Source organism: Homo sapiens, chromosome 1, assembly GCF_000001405.40.
Source record: "Homo sapiens chromosome 1, GRCh38.p14 Primary Assembly".
Classification (NCBI taxonomy): domain Eukaryota; kingdom Metazoa; phylum Chordata; class Mammalia; order Primates; family Hominidae; genus Homo; species Homo sapiens.
In genome coordinates, this window is record NC_000001.11 from 55177818 (window position 1) to 55197144 (window position 19327).

General features: G+C 38.3%; 1 protein-coding gene across 10 annotated transcripts in view; it reads right to left on the reverse strand.

Annotated features, from left to right (window-relative positions):
* The window catches only part of USP24 (ubiquitin specific peptidase 24), a 149006-nt gene that overhangs the window by 111459 nt on the left and 18220 nt on the right, over positions 1–19327 (reverse strand). For 8 of the 10 annotated variants that reach the window (XR_001737080.2, NM_015306.3, XM_017000831.2 and 5 more), the window contains exon 2: positions 150–315. Coding sequence is in view for 9 of the 10 variants with exons in the window: in NM_015306.3 (NP_056121.2) it covers positions 150–315 (166 nt within the window). In the remaining variant the exon portion in view is untranslated. The remainder of the gene's footprint in view (positions 1–149; positions 316–19327) is intronic. The other 2 variants (XM_047416524.1, XM_017000832.2) reach the window with 1 other exon arrangement.

Genomic DNA, 19327 nt, shown 5'->3' on the forward strand with positions numbered 1-19327 from the left:
AAGCTTTTCTTCTGCAGGAGATAAGTGAAGACTAAGAGAATAAATGATCTGTCCAATAACACACAGCTAGGCAACAACAAAGGCTAAGATTAAACTCAGGCCTTCTATGAAACAAATGTCCTCATGTGTTCTAAGGTCTGAAAACTTACCAAGTCTTGCTAGGTAGGTAGATGCCAACAGGCATTTGCCTAGTGATTCTTCTCGCTTGTAAGGGATGGACCAATGATCAGTCAAAACACGGCTTTCCAGTTCATATAAATTTGTTGTAGGGAATTCAATTCCTTCCCCTGAGCAGTTTCCATTCTCATCATTCTTCTGACGAAAAGGGATTAAGATAAAAAGCAAATAAAACTAATTAGTGATTACTCTAAAAATTTCCTATGTAACACAGAGCAGATACTGAATCAATGGTAGCTATTAATACCAATAGCATGGATTCTACCTTTCTTTCCTATAATCACATCTTTCACCAAGAATATCTCAAATATTCTCAACTTTTATCATTTTGGCATCTCTACTCGCTCGCTTAGAAGGTGACCTCATCTCTTTCGTTAAAAATGAACTGTCCAGGCCGGGCGCAGTGGCTCACACCTGTAATCCCAGCACTTTGGGAGGCCGAGACGGGTGGATCACGAGGTCAGGAGATCGAGACCATCGTGGCTAACACGGTGAAACCCCGTCTCTATTAAAAATACAAAAAAATTAGCCAGGTGTAGTGGCGGGCGCCTGTAGTCCCAGCTACTCGGGAGGCTGAGGCAGGAGAATGGCGTGAACCCGGGAGGCGGAGCTTGCAGTGAGCAGAGAGCTGAGATTGCACCACTGTACTCCAGCCTGGGCAACAGAGTGAGACTCCGTCTCAAAATAAATAAATAAATAAATAAATAAATAAATAAATAAATAAATAAATAAATAAAAAGAACTGTCTAGGCCGGACATGGTGGCTCATGCCTGTAACCCTAGCACTTTGGGAGGCTGAGGTGGGAGGATCACTTGAGCTCAGGAGTTCAAGACCAGCCTGAGCAACAGAGTGAGAGCCTGTCTCTCTACAAAACAAAACAAAACAAACAACAACAACAACAAAAAACTGCCCATTTCTCATGATAAAATATCAAATGCTTGCCTTCATCAACAACCCTCCTGTCTTCACATTTCTTTTCTCACTGAGGGGATAAATTCTTCAAAGAGGTATCTATATTTGCCATCTTCATCTCCACACCACTGACTCATTCCTGACAACACCCCAATCTGGATTCCAGAGTCCCTATTCTCCAAAATGGCTACTGTTAAGGTCATCACTGAACTTTATTTCACTAAATCCAATTAAGTCTCAGTCCTAACCTTACCTCTCAGGAGTATCGGACCTTCTGCCCACTCCCTCCTCTTGAAATGCTGGCTTCTTTTCCCTGCCTCCTAGAACAGCACACTCTCTGTTCTCCTCCCATGGGTCTGGCTGTTCTAGTCTGTCTCCTCTTCTGGTACATCTTCATCTTCCTAGTCATCAAATACTTCAGTTCCTCAAACCCCAGTGCTAAGCCGCCTTCTCTTTTTGTTCCTGTCGATTTCTCTGGTTGACCATATCCACACTCCAGATGTCAATTACCTCCTATCTGTAGATGACTCATACATTTCTATCTCCAGCTTAGACTTCTCCTCTGAGCTTCAGACCCACAAATGCAACTGCCTATTTGACATCTTCTCTAATTCAATGTTTGCCCCAAACCAAATTCATGATCCTTCCCCCGTAAATCCTGGTCCCCTTCTTGTGTTCTTCATCCCAGTGAATGGCACCAGATTCATCTAGTAGCATAGCCAGAAGCCAGGGGATCATTCTTAACATTTTGTTCTCCCATCCCCATTCCCAGGACCTGGTGATTGGACCTCATACATTTCTCTCCAATTCCATTCTTAACACTTGGTTCTCCCATCCCCATCCCCAGGACCTGGTGATTGGACCTCATACATTTCTCTCCAATTCCTCTACTTCTGTCCATCTCCACAGCTACCACCTAGCCCTGGTTTATGCCTAGATTACTTCACCAGCTCCCTAACTGGGCTCCATCTGCCTCATACACACATTTACTCTTCATACTGATCTTCATAAAGCACTAATCTGACGTTAACCTTAAAATCTTCATGGCTTTTCTCTGTTCTTAAGATAAGCCTAAATCATGTTTAAAATATTTTACAAGGCCTTGAATGGTCTATCCCCTAACTGTCTCTCTCTAGCTTTCTGCACTCCAGATCATTTCTCTGGGATTTAGCTTCTTGTCAGGCATAATGCTTCATGTATCGGACTATTTTCCCAAAAGGCCACAGCAGTATTTCTGGCCCCACATACTCTTCCAGAACCTTGTCTCTCTTCATAATAAAGTGGCATTTACTTCCCCTGGATCTGAACCAGGGTGGAACTGTGTGTGTGCATGCCTCGGTGAATAGAATACAGCAGAAAGAGACATGTCTAAGCCTAGGTCATGAAAGGCACTACAGCTTCCTCCTGGTTCTCTCTTGGGACACCCCCTCCTGCAACATGGACACCATGTCCTGAGGGAACCCAGGCTAAATGCAGAGGGCCCGTATGGTTGTTTTGTCCAATAGACTCACTAAGGTCTCATTGGACAACCAGCCCCTGAAGGCCAGAGGAGGAGCCTTCACATGAGTCCAGCCTACAGTCATCAAGTCATCCCCAGACTTAGTCTTCCAGCTGAGGTTCTCAGTATCATGGAGCAGAGATAAACTGCTGTCTGAATCCCATCCCCACAGAATCTACGGGCACAATCAATGGTTGCTTTACGCCACTATTCCTGAACTCATCTTTCTGTTCTCTTTAACCTACTTAACTCCTACACATCTTTAATTCTTTCAGGGAAGCCTTTCCAGAATTTCTAAAATAGACAAATTCCTTCAGTTATCATATACCCTTACCATCCTCAACCTCTCCTTCACAGCACTACTCACAGGTGTAATTTTACATTTATCTGTGATTTGTTTGCCCCTCACTAGACCAAGCTGCCTAAGGGCATGGACCTTATCTATTTTTGACCACCTCTGTATCTCTAGAAGCTGGCACCTAGCATAAAGTAGGTATTTAATAAATATTGTTAAATGGAAAAATAATCCATATAAAGCTTCAACTATTAATAGGGTAACTGCCAGACTTTCCTTCAGTTCTCACCATGCTAATTTGTAACAAAGCAAACAGGACCCCAAATTGCCTAATACGCACACTAGTTTGTATTTTTTTTTTTTGGAAACCTACATATCCTCACAATTTACTATATAATTTAATCATTACAAAATAAAATAATCCCATTTAAAAATCATGTTTAACCTCAATGAAGAAAAAGATCATAAATATAAAGCAGAAATCATAAAACACAGAAGAAAACTAACTTCAATGCCATATCAATGATATCTAAAGAAATCCAACACATTTCTCCCCCCACCCCAACAAAGTCTGTAACTAAATAAAACAAAAAACAGGAAGGTAATTAAGCATAGAAGACAATGTAAATTGGACAAGGGTAGAAGGAGGGGGTGATGAACTAAGTACGCTTAGAATCACAATGCATGGGAAAAATTCAGTTTTTAAAGCGTAACACTTTTCAGAAATACATTTAATTCATAAGTACTATAAGTAAGCCAATTTCACTTAAAGGAACCTGATAGGACTCAAATAGTAAAAAATTTAGCATAGTTTTAAATCTGCACACATGTGAAATGCTTAAATTTATTACCTTAGGATTAAAGTGGAATTAAGTCATATAAAAACAAAAAATTTCACTTGGCTGATTCCTAAGTGGGTATACGTCATTACTATGGAGTATCTATCATTAATTTCTATAGAGTTAATATATCAAATCATACATAAAATCATCAAATGTACTCAGTAGATGTAAAAACTAGAGCCTCTTTGGTGAAAGAAACAAAAGTCCCCTAGCATCATCAGTGTTAAGGACTGAATTGTGTCTACTCCCCCAAATCCAAGTCATCAATTGAAGCCCTAACTCTCAATGTGACTATATTTGGAGATAGTGCCTTTAAGGAGATAAACAAGGTTAAATGAGGTCATAAGGGTAGGGCCCTAATCCAATAAAACTTGTGTCTTAATGAGAAGGGGAAGGGACATCAGAGATCTCCCTGTTTGTCAGTGCACAGAGGAAAGGCCAGGTGAGGACACAGCAAGAAGGCAGCCCAGAAGAGAATCCTCACCAGAAACCAACTCTAATGACTTCTTTTTTATTTTTATTTTTTTTGAGACGGAGTCTCGCTCTGCTGCCAGGCTGGAGTGTAGTGGCACAATCTCAGCTCACAGCAACTTCCGCTTCCCGGGTTCAAGCGATTCTCCTGCCTCAGCCTCCCAAGTAGCTGGGACTATAGGCATGTGCCACCACGCCCGGCTAATTTTTGTATTTTTAGTAGAGACGGGGTTTCACCATGTTGGCCAGGATGGTCTCGATCTCTTGACCTCATCGTGATATGCCCACCTTGGCCTCCCAAAGTGCTGGGATTGCAGGCGTGAGCCATTGCGCCCGGCCTCTAATGACTTCTTGATCTTGGACTTCTAGCCCCAACTGTAAGAAAATAAGTTTCTGTAGTTTAAGCCACCCAGTCTGTGGTATTTTGTTATGGCAGCCTGTTGAGGCTGATTCTGAGGTGGGTGTAGTTCATTACCATGGGATATCCATCATTAATTTCTACAGAAATTAATAAATCAAACAACATATGAAATCGTCAAATGTACCTAGCAGATATTAAATCTAAGGGGGAGCAAGGGGGGAGATCTTATTATGTGCCTCCTGATATGGTGCACTGTAAACAGCACAATTCTCACTTCTTTGATATTCCCACCAAAAATGTATAACCTGAATCTAATAATGAGAAAACCCGAAATGAAAAACAGTCTTTTATTTTTTTTGAGACAGAGCCTCACTTTGTCACCCAGGCTGGAGTGCAGTGGCACCATCTTGGCTCACTGCAGCCTCCATCTCCTGGGTTCAAGCAATTCTCATGCCTCACCCTCCCGAGTAGCTGGGACTACAAGCGCATACCACCATGTCCAGCTCATTTTTGTATTTTTAGTAGAGAGAGACAGGGTTTCGCCATGTTGGTCAGGCTGGTCTTGAACTCCTGACCGCAAGTGATCTGCCCGCCTGGGCCTCCCAAAGTGCTGGGATTACAGGTGTGAGCCACCGTGCCTGGCCAAAAAACAGTCTAAAAATGGTCTAGCCTCTATTCCTAAAAAATGCCAGAGTCACCAAAGACAAGTACACTAGACAAATACGACAACCAAAAACAACATGGTATCCTGGACTGGATCTTGAAACAGAAATTATTATGTGTTTTATTTTACATTTTAGCTTCAAAGGATTTAGTACTGGATCAATGTTAATTTCCTGGTTTTGATAAATATACTAAGGTTAAGAGAATATCCTCATTTTTAGGAAGTATATAAGGGTAAAGGGGCATGGTGTCTGTAATTCATTCTCAAACAGTTCAGGAACAACAAAATACATACACATTTTATACACACATGCACATTATATATGTCTGTATATCTAAATACATACATAGAGAGAGAAATAAAGCAAATGTGATAAAATGTTAATATTTAAAGAACCTGAGTAAAGGTTACTTCTCTGTAAATGTAAGATATTAATTGTAATCCCCAGGACAACCATGAAGAAAATAAAAATGTATATTGAGAAAGAAACAAGGGAATTAAAATGATACACCAGAAAATATGTATTTAATATAAAACACAGGAGTAATGGACGATTAGAGGAACAAAAAGATGTAAGAGATAAGAAAACAAAGAGCAAAGCGGCAAATGTAAATCCTGTCTTACCAGTAATTACATTAAATGCAAATGGACAATAATTAAAAGGCAGAGGTTTGCAGAATGAATTTTTAAAATATATTATACAACCATATGCTGTCTACATCAAACACAATTTAGACAAAGATACAGAGACTGAAATAAAAGGATGTAAAAAGATATCATACACACATACAGGAGCTGGAATGGCTATATTAGACAGAACAGACGTTAAGGCAAGAAATGAAACTAAGACACTTCATAATAAAAAGGTCAATACAACAGGAAGATAAAATGATGAAAAAATATATACCCTAAAAGCAATAACCAAAGAGAGCAGGGGTGACTACAATAACATTGGGGGGGAAAAAAGGACACTGAAAAGCTGTTACTAGAGACAAGAAAGGCTGTTCTTTTTCCCCACTGTTTTGGGGGTTTTTTTGAGACAGGGTCTGGCTCTGTCACCCAGGCTGGAGTGCAGTGGCGTAATCTCAGCTCACTGCAACCTCTGTGTCCCAGGCTCAAATGATCCTTCCACCTCAGCCTCCCAAGTGGCTGAGATTACAGGCACACACCACCACGTCTGGCTAATTTTTGTATTTTTTATAGAGATGGGGTTTTGCCATGTTGCCGAGGCTGGTCTCAAACTCCTGAGCTCAAGCAATCCACCTGCCTCAGCCTCCCAAAGTGCTGGAATTATAGGCACGAGCCACCACACCCAGCCAGGAAAGGTTATTTTGTAATGATAAAAGGTTAATCCATCAGGAAGATATAACAATTATAAACACATAAGCATCTAACAACAGAGATCTAAAACACAGAAAGCAAAAATTAACAGAATTAAAGAGAGAAATACACCAACAATAATAGTTGGAGACTTCAATACCTCAGAATTAGGCAAAAGATCAACAAGAAAATAGAATACTCAAACAACACTATAAACCAAATAGACCTAAAACACATTTACAGAACTCTCCACCCAATTACAGTAAAATACAGATTCTCCTCAAGTGCGCATGAAATATTCTCCAAGATAGAGCATATGTTAGGTTGTAAAACAGGCCTCAACAATTTAAAAGAAGTGAAATCATACCAAATATGTTGTCTGACTGCAATGGAATTAAAAATCAACAGAAGGAAATATGGAAAATTCAAAAATATGTGAAAATTAAACAACACATTCCTTAATCACCAATGGCACAAACAAGAAATCACAAGATAGGTAAGAACGCGCTTTGAGACGAATGAAAATTAAAATATAATATAAAACTTTTGGGTACAGCAAAAGCAGTGATTAAAGGGAAATTTGTTTGTTTTGGGATTTTTATTTTTATTTTTTTTTTGACATGGGGTCTTGTTCTGCTGCCTAGGCTTGAATGCAGTGGCACAATCACAGCCCACTGCAGCCTTGACCTCCAGGGCTCAAGGGATCCTCCCACTTCCCAGCTCCCCAGCAGCTGGGACTACTGCTGCATACCACCATGCCTGACTATGTTTTGTTTTAGAAATAGGGTTTTGTTTTGTTGCTCAGGCTGATCTCGAACTCCTAGGTTCAAGCGATTCTCCCATGTCAGCCTCCTAAAGTGCTGGGATTACAGGTGTGAGCCAACATATCTGGTCACAAGAGGGAAATTTTTTACTGGTAATGCCTATATTACAAAGGAAGAAAGATTTCAAATCAACAACATAACCTCCCACTTTCAGAAACATGAAAAGCAAGAATAAACTAAACCCAAAGCAAGCAGAAGGAAACAGAAAAGATCAGAGTAGAAATAAATAAATTTAAAAATATATAATAAATAAAACCAAAAGTTGGTTCTTTGAAAAAATTTAAAAAAAAGGGACAAACCTTCAACTAGACTGACAAAGAGAAAAAGAAAGAGGATTCAAATTTAATAATAAGAATGAAAGAAAAAACATCACTACTTTTTATTTTATTTATTTTTGAGACAGAGTCTTGCTCTGTCATCCAGGCTGGAGTGCAAAGGCACAATCATGGCTGACTGCAGCCTTGACCTTCTAGGCTCAAGCAAACCTCCCATTTCAGCCTCCTGAGTAGCTGGGACCACAGAAGCACACCACCATACCTGGTTCATCTTTCTGATTTTTTTTTTTTTGTAGAGACAGGGACTCACTATGTTGTCCAGCCTGTTCTCACACTCTTGGGCTCAAGTGAACCTCCCAGCTCAGGCTTCCAAAGTTCTGGGATCACAGGTGTGAGCCACCTCGCCAGGCCAAGAAAACATTACCACTGACCTTACAGAAATAAATATGGTAAGATATACTACTAACAAATGTATGCTAACAAATTAGATAACCCAGGTAAAATGAACATTTCCTAGAAAAGCATAAACCACCAAAACTGACTCAAGAAGAAACAGAAAATCTGAAGACCTGTACCAAGTAAAAAGAATGACTTGTAATCAAGAACTTCCCACAAAGGAAAGCCCAGGACCAGATGGCATCACCAGTGAATTATACAAAACGTTTAAAGAACTAACATCAATCCTTCAGTCTTCCAAAAAATAGAAAAGCAAGGAACATTTCCCAACTTATTTTATGAGGCAAGTATTACCCTGATATTAAAAATGGACAAGGAAATTTCACATCTATTAGTATGGTTATTATAAAAAATATAGAAAAAAATGTTGGTAAGGATGTGGGGAAACTGGAACTTTTGTACACTGCTGATAAGAGTATAAAACTGTGCACCTACAATGAATAACACTATGGAGGTTTCTCAAAAACTTAAATGGAACTACCATGTGATTGAGCAACTCTACTGGATACACACATACCAAAAAACTGAAAGAAGAGGCTTGAGCAGATATTTGTACACCCATGTTCATAACCGAATTATTCACAATAGCCAAAAGGTGGAAGCAACCCAAGTGTCCATCAACAAATGAATAAACAAAATATGATATAAACATACCATGGATTATCCAAACTTTAAGAAAATGTGTTTATGATACATGTTACAACATGGAAGATCTTGAAGATATTATGCCAAGTGAAATAAGCCAATCACAGAAAAACAAATATTATATGATTCCACTTATATGAAAGTACTTAGAGTAGTCAAATTCACAGATGAAGAAAGCAGAATGTTGGTTGCCAAGGGCTGGGTGCAGGGGGGAATAGGGAGTTAGTATGTAATGGGTACAGAGTTTCAGCTGGGGAAGATGAAGTAGTTCTGAAGATGGATGGGACTGATGGATGCAGAACAATTAAATGTACTTAATGCCACAGAACTGTACACTTAAAAATGAATAAAATGGTAAATTTTATGTTATGTATATATTATCACACTTTAAAATAATATACAAAGATACACACACCAAACCAATATCCCTAGGAATAGTGACACAAAAATCCTTAACAATAAACCAGTAAACCAAATCCACACATATATTAAAAAGATCCTAAACCATGACCAAGTGGCACTTATCTCAGGAATCAAGGTAGGTTTAGTATACAAAAAAACAAACAAACAAAAAACCAATCAATATAATAACACCATAGTAACAGAATAAAGGACATAAAAAATCACGAGATCATCTCAAGTGAAGCAGGAAAAAACTTCACAAAATGTAACACCATTCCATGATTTTAAAACAACGACAAAACACTCAACAAACTAGAAATAAAGGGGAACTTCCTCAACTTGATTAAAGGCATCTACAAAAACACCTACAGTGAACATCATATTTAACTGTGAAATACTGAATGCTTTTCTCTAGATCAGGAATGAGACAAAGATGTCTGCTCTCACAGCTTCCATTCAACACTGCACTGGAGTGTCTAGTCAAGGCAATTAGGCAAAGAAAAAATAAAAGGCATTCAGATTAAAGAGGATGAAATAAAACTACTTCTATTCACTGATGCCATAATTTTGCACAGAGAAAATCCTAAGGAATTCACCAAAATAAATACCAGAATAAATGAGTTCAGCAAGGCTGCAGAATACAGTATCAATATACTGTATTTCTATACACTAACAACTGTATTTCTATACACTAACAATGGGTAATCCTAAAATAAAGAGAATAATTTCATTTACAATAACATTAAAAAGAATAAAATACTTAGGAAGTGCAAGACTTGTACACTGAAAACTACAAAGCATCATTGAAGGAAATTATAAGAACTAAATAAACAAAAAGACATCCTATGTTCATAGATTGGAACTTAAAACTGTTAAGATAACAATATTCCCCAAATTGGTCTACAAATTGAACACAATCCGCATCAAAATTCCAGCTAGTTTCTTTGCAAAAAACGACAATCTAACTTTAAAATTTACAAGGAACCCTGAATAGTCAAAACAACAAAGTTCAAGAATTCACATTTCCCATTTTCAAAACTTACTACAGCGCTATAGTAATCAAGACAATCTGGTACTGGCATAATGAATCAATGGAATATAATGGAGATTTCATAAATAATACCTGGTATTTATGGTCAATTAATTTTTCAGCAAGAGTCACGAGACAACTTAATCTTTCACAAAGACAAAAAAGTAATCCAATGGAGGAAGGACAGTCTTTTCAACAAATGGTGCTGAGACAACTGAATATACACAAGCAAAAGAATGAAATGACCCCACCTCAAGCCACATACAAAAACTAACTCAATGTAACGCAAGACTAAATATTCATGACCTTGGATTAGGTAATTATTTCTTGGAAAAGCAAAAGCAACAAAGAAAAAATAAACTTCATCAAAAATAAAAATTTTTGTGCATCAAAAGTCACCATTAAGAAAGTGAAAAAAAGAATCTACAGAATGAGAAACAGTATTTGCAAATCATAGATCTGATAAAAGATTTGCATATAGAATACAAAAAAAAAACCTTACAACTCAATAAAAAGACAAATAACCTAATAAAAAATGGGCAAAAGATTTGAATAAATGTTTCTCCAAAAAAGATACAAGCGGTTCACAAAAAGATGCTAAGCATCTTCAGGAAAATGCAAATCAAAACCACAAAATACCACTTCACACCTACTAGGATGGCCAAAATTTAAAAAGACAGGAAAGAAGCCGGGCATGGTGGGTCACACCTGTAATCCCAGCACTTTGGGAGGCTGAGGCAGGTGGATTGCCTGAGATCAGGAGTTCGAGACCAGCCTGTCCAACATAGTGAAACCCCGTCTCTACTAAAAATATAAAAAATTAGCTGGGTGTGGTGGTGGGCACCTGTAATCCCAGCTACTAGGGAGGCTGAGGTAGGAGGATTGCTTGAACCTGGGAGGCGGAGGTTGTGGTGAGCAGAGATCGCGCCACCCATTGCACTCCAGCCTGGACAACAAGAGCAAAACTCCATCTCAAAAAAAAAAAAAAAAAAAAAAAAAAAAAAAGACAGGAAATAACAAGTATTGGTGAGAATGTGAAGCAATTGGAAACTTCACACACTGCTGATTGATTATAAAATGGGGCCACCGCTTTCCAAGACAGTTTGGCAGTTCCTCAAAGGTTACTAAGTTTCCACTTGACATAACAATTCCATTCATACAAATATTCATAAGAGAAATGGAAACATATGTCCACATAAAACACGTATACATGAGTGTTCGTGGCAGCATTGTTGCTAACAACCAAAAGGTTTGGAAATTATCCAAATGTCCATTAGAAAGAATGAATGAACAATCCATTTTATGTCCATGTGTTATATCCATACAATGAAGTATTTTTTAGCTCTAAAAATGATCAAAATACTGACAAGTTACAGTATTTTGAATGAACATAGTGAGTTGAATGAATTTCCACAAAAATAAGTTCTGAAGTTCAGTTCTCAATGAACTCCAAAAATATACTAAGTGAAAGAAGCCAGACATAAAAGGCCGCATATTGTATCATTCTGTTTATATGAAATGTTCACAATAGGCAAATCCATAGACACAGAAAGTAGACTGGTGGTTGCCACAGGATGGCAGGAGATAGAAAAAGACAGCATGAGGTTTCTTTTGGAGGTGATGAAAATATTCTCAAAATAAATGGTGGTGATGGTTGCACAATTCTGAATGCACACTTTAAAACGGTGAACTTTATAGTATAAGAATTCTTTCTCAATAAAGCTGTTATTTAAAAGACTTGATTAACAAAAATGAGTTCAATGATTATAGTCACTAAAGAAAGTGGGTATATATCTAAGAACTGCAAAACACAGAGTTGTACCTAATCTGTAATAAAAATCTAACACATATGGCAATTAGCTTTAAAACAGCAATTAAAAAATATTATTATATAAGGCCAGGCACGGTGACTCATGCCTGTAATCCCAGCACTTTGGGAGGCTGAGGGAGGATCACTTGAGGTCAGGAGTTTGAGACCAGCCTGACCAACATGGTGAAACCCCATCTCTACTAAAAATACAAAAATTAGCTGGGGATGGTGGAAGGCACCTGTAATCCCAGCTACTTGGGAAGCTGAGGCAGGAGAATTGCTTGGACCCAGGAGGCGGAGGTTGCGGTGAGCCAAGATTGCACCACTGCACTCTAGCCTGGGTGACAGACCAAGACTCCATCTCAAAAAAAAAAAAAAAAAAAAAGAAAGAAAGAAAATATTATTTAAGACTTGACAGGCGAAATATACCATGTTGCCTCCTAGGCAGTTAACATTCTTGGTCTTAAAACTGGAAGCAACAGCGCGTTATACACAGGGTTAAGGAATGATACAAAGCAGCACTACATTTTCAGGAGTGTGCTGCAAACACAAAGAGATAAGCAACCACAGAGGGGGATAGTATGAACCCATATTTTGGTTGGTTTGATATTTTGAGTTATCACTTTTAAGTAGAGCCTGTCCTTGGCAAAAATTACATACTGACCAAGAGAACACATACAAAGCAGCTCAGTATCGTTCTATTGCAAAATGTCATAGCTCCGAACAGACATAATGTATTGAGCTTTTAATAAGATCTTTGCAATTTAACTTACTATTTTCTCATTAGATGCCAAATCCAAATGATACAAAAGTAACCATTAATGGTCACTGATTATAAATTAATTAAAAACATATTTATTGAGAGTGCTATGCTCCAGACAAAATGCTCAGTGCTGAGGACAAAGATAACGGACACAATTCTTGTCTTTAAAGAAAAGGATAATGTGAAAGTAGAGAAAAGGCTGGTGGATGCCAAACCAGCCTGTGGGTGTCCAGGTATATGTGCAGTGAGAACAAACCTGTACACAGTTGAAGAAGTTTAAAGGAAATCGTGCTCCAGAGAGAAGATTACAGATCAAATTATTTCAAAACCAGTATTTTTCAAGTATATTAATAAAACTTCAACATTTTTAGCCATTTGACTACTTGAGTCAATATCTTTGCTGCTTTTTATGATACTCCATCAACTTCATTTAAAATTGAAAAATAATTTTTATAAAATATTTTACAATATTCATGTAAATCCAGCAGTTGTTAGGAGATGCACAGCTCTGGCACGAAGGTAGAAGAGAAATGAGCTTGCCAACAATTATTGAATGTCACTTTTAACCTGAAAAATTTTTAATAACATTAAATCTTGTGTATTCAGTTGTTCAAGAAAAATAATACAGATGAACTAATGTGTTCAATTATGATTTCTAATTGGTCAGTTTACGATTAAAGTAAGAACAAGTAACATTGTTGGATACATACTCATCTCTTCAGTATTTTAGGCTACTTCCTAAATATGTAATTTTTTTATGCCCACAAATACAAATGAAAATATAAACAAGTCTCTGTAACTGCCATAATGCTTTATAGTGCCATAAATATGCTAGGAATTCAAATAGTTATGATTATGACTTCATCTGTTTGCCAACTGTTTGGACTAAGGCTTAGTATTTACTTACTTATAAGATCAATATGGCACTTTCTTTTTTTTTTTTTTGAGATGGAGTCTCGCTCTGTCACCCACACTGGAGTGCAGTGGCACGGTCTTGACTCACTGCAACCTCTGCCTCCCAGGTTCAAGCGATTCTCCTGTCTCAGCCTCCTGAGTAGCTGGGATTACAGGCGCCTGCCACCACGTCCGGCTAATTTTTTGTATTTTTAGTAGAGACGGTGTTTCACCATGTTGGCCAGGCTGGTCTCAAACTCCTGACCTCGTGATCTGCCCGCCTCTGGCTCCCAAAGCGCTAGGATTACAGGCATGAGCCACCCTGCCTGGCCTGGCACTTTTAATTGTTGCAACTGAAGTTTTTCATGGAATTGATACACAGTCACTGTACAATATTAATCTACCCCCACACAGTTTAGCAAAGATCTTTAAGTTTAAAATATAGATTATTTTGACAAAAATACCTTTCTGCATCCTACCTTTCATATTGCAAATTTTAGTTAGACATGTTTGTACATACGTTGCTATCCATATCCAGAAACTTGCCCGTTTGAAAAACGCAAATGAACCAACATAAGCACAGGTGATATCCTAACTGGGAGTTAAGTACACATGCACACAAAATCTACCTAATCCTTGCAAATGAGCTTTAAAAAATCAACATGCAAGCTTTTAAGTTAATAAGAGAGTTTAATATTTATTTAGAAAAAGTACCCTTATTTTTTTAAAGAGACAATAAACTGATTACTCTTGAACCCAACAAGGATACATTACTGTAATTTAAGCCTTCTTTGTTGAAAGAAGTAAAACCTACTGGGGAGGTACCTACCACCTGCTAGTTTAGAGATAAGCTCCTGTCTGCCCACTGACTCAACAAATACAGATAAAAGAAAATTATTCAACTTAACGGATAAGAGACTACCAGTGTTGCTTAAAGTTTATTTGAATACTAAATTCAATTACTGAACTATGCTATTAACCAACATGTGCTCAAAAGAACCTCTGATCAATATATAGAAAAATGAAGATGACAGACTGATCTCTTCACGATGATTTTAAACAGATTTGTCTATTACTTGTGTATTATAATAAACAATTAGAAACATATATGTGAAGAGCTTAAGGAAAAACATGCAAACATGGGCATTCGATTGCAAGTCACTAATTTATAATACCTTTCATTAAATATTGAGGTTGTCAGTTTTACTAAATATTTTTCAAAGCAATTTGGAGATGGTTATATGCAGATCTGATATTCCCTGTTAATTCAGACTAGAGAAAATAATTCCTAAAATATTGCTTCCTGGAAAAAGAGAAGATGATAAACAAGTAAGTGTATGCAGTCCCCATGTATGAATACATTGTGTCTGAAGTCTGCAAATGTTTTCCTGGAATGCATCTTCATTCCATGTTATGAGTAGTAAATAACTTCCTAAACTATTCAACAAAAGCTGACTTTTGTATGTGGTTCCCTGCATTAACCCTTCTTGGTTATTCAGGTAAAGTCAGTCCTCCACACCCATGGGTTCAACCAATTGTGAACTGAAAATATTTGGGAAAAAATGGATGGTTGCATTTGTATTGAACGGATCTAGACATTTTTTTCTTGTCATTAGTCCTTAAATACATAGAAAGCAATGTATTTACATTTTGTAATTTACATTACAAATAATGTATTTATATACAGTATAACAACTACTTGCATAGCATTTATATTGTATTAGGTATTATAAGTAATCTAGAGATGATTTAAAGTACACAGGAGGATGTGCTTAGGATACATGCAAATACTAAGCCATTTTATATAAGGGATTTGAGCATTTCGGTATCTGTGGGGAGGGCAGGTGGATACAGATTTTGGTATCCCCAAGGGGGTCCTGAAACCAACTCCCCACAGAAACCAAGGGACAACTGTATTTAGAATACAGAGAAGCAAGGTTTTCATGAGAAGAGGTTGTCCTATAATCCAAAGGTGATATCTTACATATAGAGGGTAACCTTCATTTAATATTTAAGGTTTGGGACATACAGATCATCGATTCCAGGATCCAAAAAGTAGGTAGCTGTTCCAGTCCCAATTTCCTTAGGGCATCTCCAGTGACTGCAGTTATGCTGGGCCCTCAGTTTTAGCAGCCAGCAGGAAGGAGGAGAGATATGGTAAAGGGGATTGAGATAAATTCAGATGAGAGCAATATGAGTGAGCAGTAAAGGAGAACTAATACGTCTACTGAGCACCTAGCTGCTACATGTCAGGAACAGCACTAGTAACTATGGAAAAGTGTACATATATTATAATTTAATTATTCTCAAACCTCAGGAGGTAAGAGTTATCATCCTCATTTTTTACATGAGCAAACAAACTGAGGCTCACATAAGGCAAAGTTACTCACCAGAAGTCACATTTCTTATGGTCACTTGCCTAACACCAACAGTCATTAAATGCGTTCAGACTGAAATAAAAATTTAAGTCAAGGTTTCTCCAAATCTCAGGCTCTAGATTAAGCATACTTGAAAGTATTCCAATTCCTCCTAAAATTGGTAGCATAGCATGGCCTCAAAAAACACCAATGCAGAATGGAGGCAAAAATGCTTTTACAAAAAACAGAACTTATATAATGCACCCCAAGCCAAGAATTGGGGAGGTAAGAGAGGACTATCAAGTAAAACTTATTTTCTTCCAAAGCACTAGTATTTTTTAATCCATTAAAACTTAAAGCTCTAGATAAACAGCTATCTAGCAGAAGCAATCAACTTTCATCCTTAATTTTGTTGAAATTTCCTTTACTAAGTATTACCATCTAACAGATCTAATTGTTGATTCTTTCACTACCACTTGCTAGCTGTGTTACCTTGAATAAACTTCTTAATCTATTTGCCTTTGTTTTCCTCAATGAGAAAGAGAGCATGGTGCCCGATTTGCAGGATTCCTACACAGATGAGGGATAATTCATCACAGGGCCAGCTACAACACACAGCAACATAAGAAATAGAAGCCCAGGCTGAGAGCAGTGAGCTCACACCTGTAATCCCAGCAGTTTGGGAGGTTGAGGTGGGTGATCACTTGAGCTCAGAGGGCTGAGGCTGCAGTGAGCCGTGTTCATGCCACTGTACTCCAGGCTGGGCGACAGAGGGAGACCCTGTCTCAAAAAAAAAAGAAAAAAGAAATAGTAGCCTAGTCCACTCCTTAGGCTTCAGATGAATCTTTCTTTGTCCCTCTCTCTCTCTCTCTCTATGCTAGACTCTAACCTTGGTGCCCTCAATGTACTCCAGATTTACCATATCCACAAAGAACTCGGTTTCTGACTCAAATCTGTTACTTCTCTAACATTCCTAACCCCGGAACTGTGTCCTCGTCCCAGCCAGTTGGTCACATCACAGTAATTCTACCTTATAAATTTCTTCTGAATAGTCTGTCCTAGCCAAGCCTGCTTACTTGAGGTCTCTGTCCTGTGTTGCTCGGACTGCTGCAATACTCATATAACTGCCATTCCTTCTACCAGTCCATATCACCACTCCCGTGCCCCCTCCAAAGGGCCACCAGAATGATCTTCCTTAAAACAAAACAAAACAAAACAAAACGAAAACCCTAACCCCAACCCAAACCAAAAAAAGGAAGCTCATCCCATCACTCACTTCCTCAGAAAGCTCCATTTGCTCCCAGCTGCCTAAAGGTGCCTAGAAAGTAAAAGCAAGCTTCTTGCATTGGCAGGCAAGGCTCTCCATCCTCTGATCACAATCCATCACAATATATGGTTTGCCACTTTCCAAACCTTCTGCTGGAGCTACATACAAGGTCCTATCATGAAACCATGTATAGCTGTAGGCTGCTCTCTCTGCCTAGGTGGCCCTTTCTCAGCCTGATAAATTCCTACTTCTTCAAAACCACTTCAAGTATCATCTCTTCAACAAAATTTTCGAGCGTTGAGATTCCTCCAAGCAAAGGAAGGTATTCTGTCTTCTATTTTTACACAGAATTCTCATTCAGTATTTTCCAGAGGCTATGAATACATCTATGAATAAGACAGACATACTCTGCCACTGAATCTTGGAAATCTCCTGTCTTTCAGGGAAAAAGACAAATAAGAAATTACAATTTCTTGTTAGGAGTGTTACTGTAAGAGTATTACGAAAGTACATAAGGAGGCCCATTCAGCCTTTAAAAAGAAGGCAATCTTGCGACATACTATAACATGAACAAGCCTTGAGGACATCATGCTTAGTGAAATAAGGCAGTCACAGAAAGACAAATATTGTATAGTTCCACTTATATGAGGTATCTGAAGTATTGAAGCTCAGAAACAGAAAGTAAAGTGGTGGGTGCCAGGAGCTAGGGGGTAGGGGAAAGGAAAGGTTGTTGTTTAACAGGTACAGAGTTTCAGATTTGCAAGATGAAAAATTTCTGGAGATGTTTCACAACAATTTGAATATACTTAACACTACTGAACTGTACACTTAAAAAAGATTAAGTTGATAAATTTTATGTTATGTGATTTTTACCAGAGTTAAGAAAAAAGGGGGGACCCAGCCTCATCATAGTGAAAGGTAGCCTACCAAATGAAATAATACTTAAGCTGAGACCTAAGTAAATGTCTACCTTCTTCACCACAGCCTCATATACACATTTAATTCTCAGTTCTCATCTTACCGGACCCATCAGCAATATTTAACAGTGGATCCCTCTTCCTGGAAACACCTCTTTCACTTGGTTTCCAGGACACAGTTCTCATTTGGTTCCTCACCCCACCAGCCACTCCTCAGTCTCCTTTGCTGGTTCTGCCTTACCACCCCAAGTCTCTAAACACTGGAGCACCTTCGAGCTCAGTCCTCAGACTGAGGCTCCCCCTTGGTGACCTCAGTGAGTTGAATCTAATGCATTGTTTTCTACCTAATTTTCATTATCATTCTTCCAAGGAGACTTTTAGACATCTTTTTCTTAACCATCCTATCCCCCACGAAATTAAATACTAAGAATTGACTGTGTTGGGTAGGGTTGGGTTTTGGTGTGATCCACTGTAATATCTAAGATTGTTTTTCATCTCCCTCAAGAACCAATTTCCGCCCCCCCAATAGAGTTATATTACCCCTGTTAAGAACAGTTTAATGGTTTAAGTGCTATCTCTAAGTTGAAGAGTCACATTTTGGCTCCAGTACAGACTTCTTCTCTGGACACCAGGCACATATCCAACTTCCTTTTTGACAACTCCACTAGGGTGTTTAATAGGCATCTAAAATTAACATGTTCAAAAACAAACCCCTGATCTTTCTCACCAGATCATGGTATCTCCCTGTTGAAAACCTTCGATGCCTTTGTTCCTATTCTGACAAAAAGTTATCGTGACAGTTGCCTGCAAGGCCCTAATGGGGAGCTGACCTCTGCCCGTTGAGTTCCAGCCATACTGGCCTCCCTGCTGCTCCTCCAACATGCCAGCCCTGCTGCTACCCGGTGTTTTTGCATTAGGTGTTCCTTCCACTTAAAGCAGGAGTTGGCAAAGTAGAGCCCACTGCCTGTTTCTGTATTTTATTGAAACAAAGACCTGCTTATTTCCTTACATATAGCATATAGTTGCTTTCATACTATAATAGCTAAGTTGAATAGCTACAACAGAGACTAAGTATTTACTTTAGGCCTGTTACAGAAAACTTTTGCCCACCCCTAGTTTAGAATGCCGTTCCCTCAGATAACCACA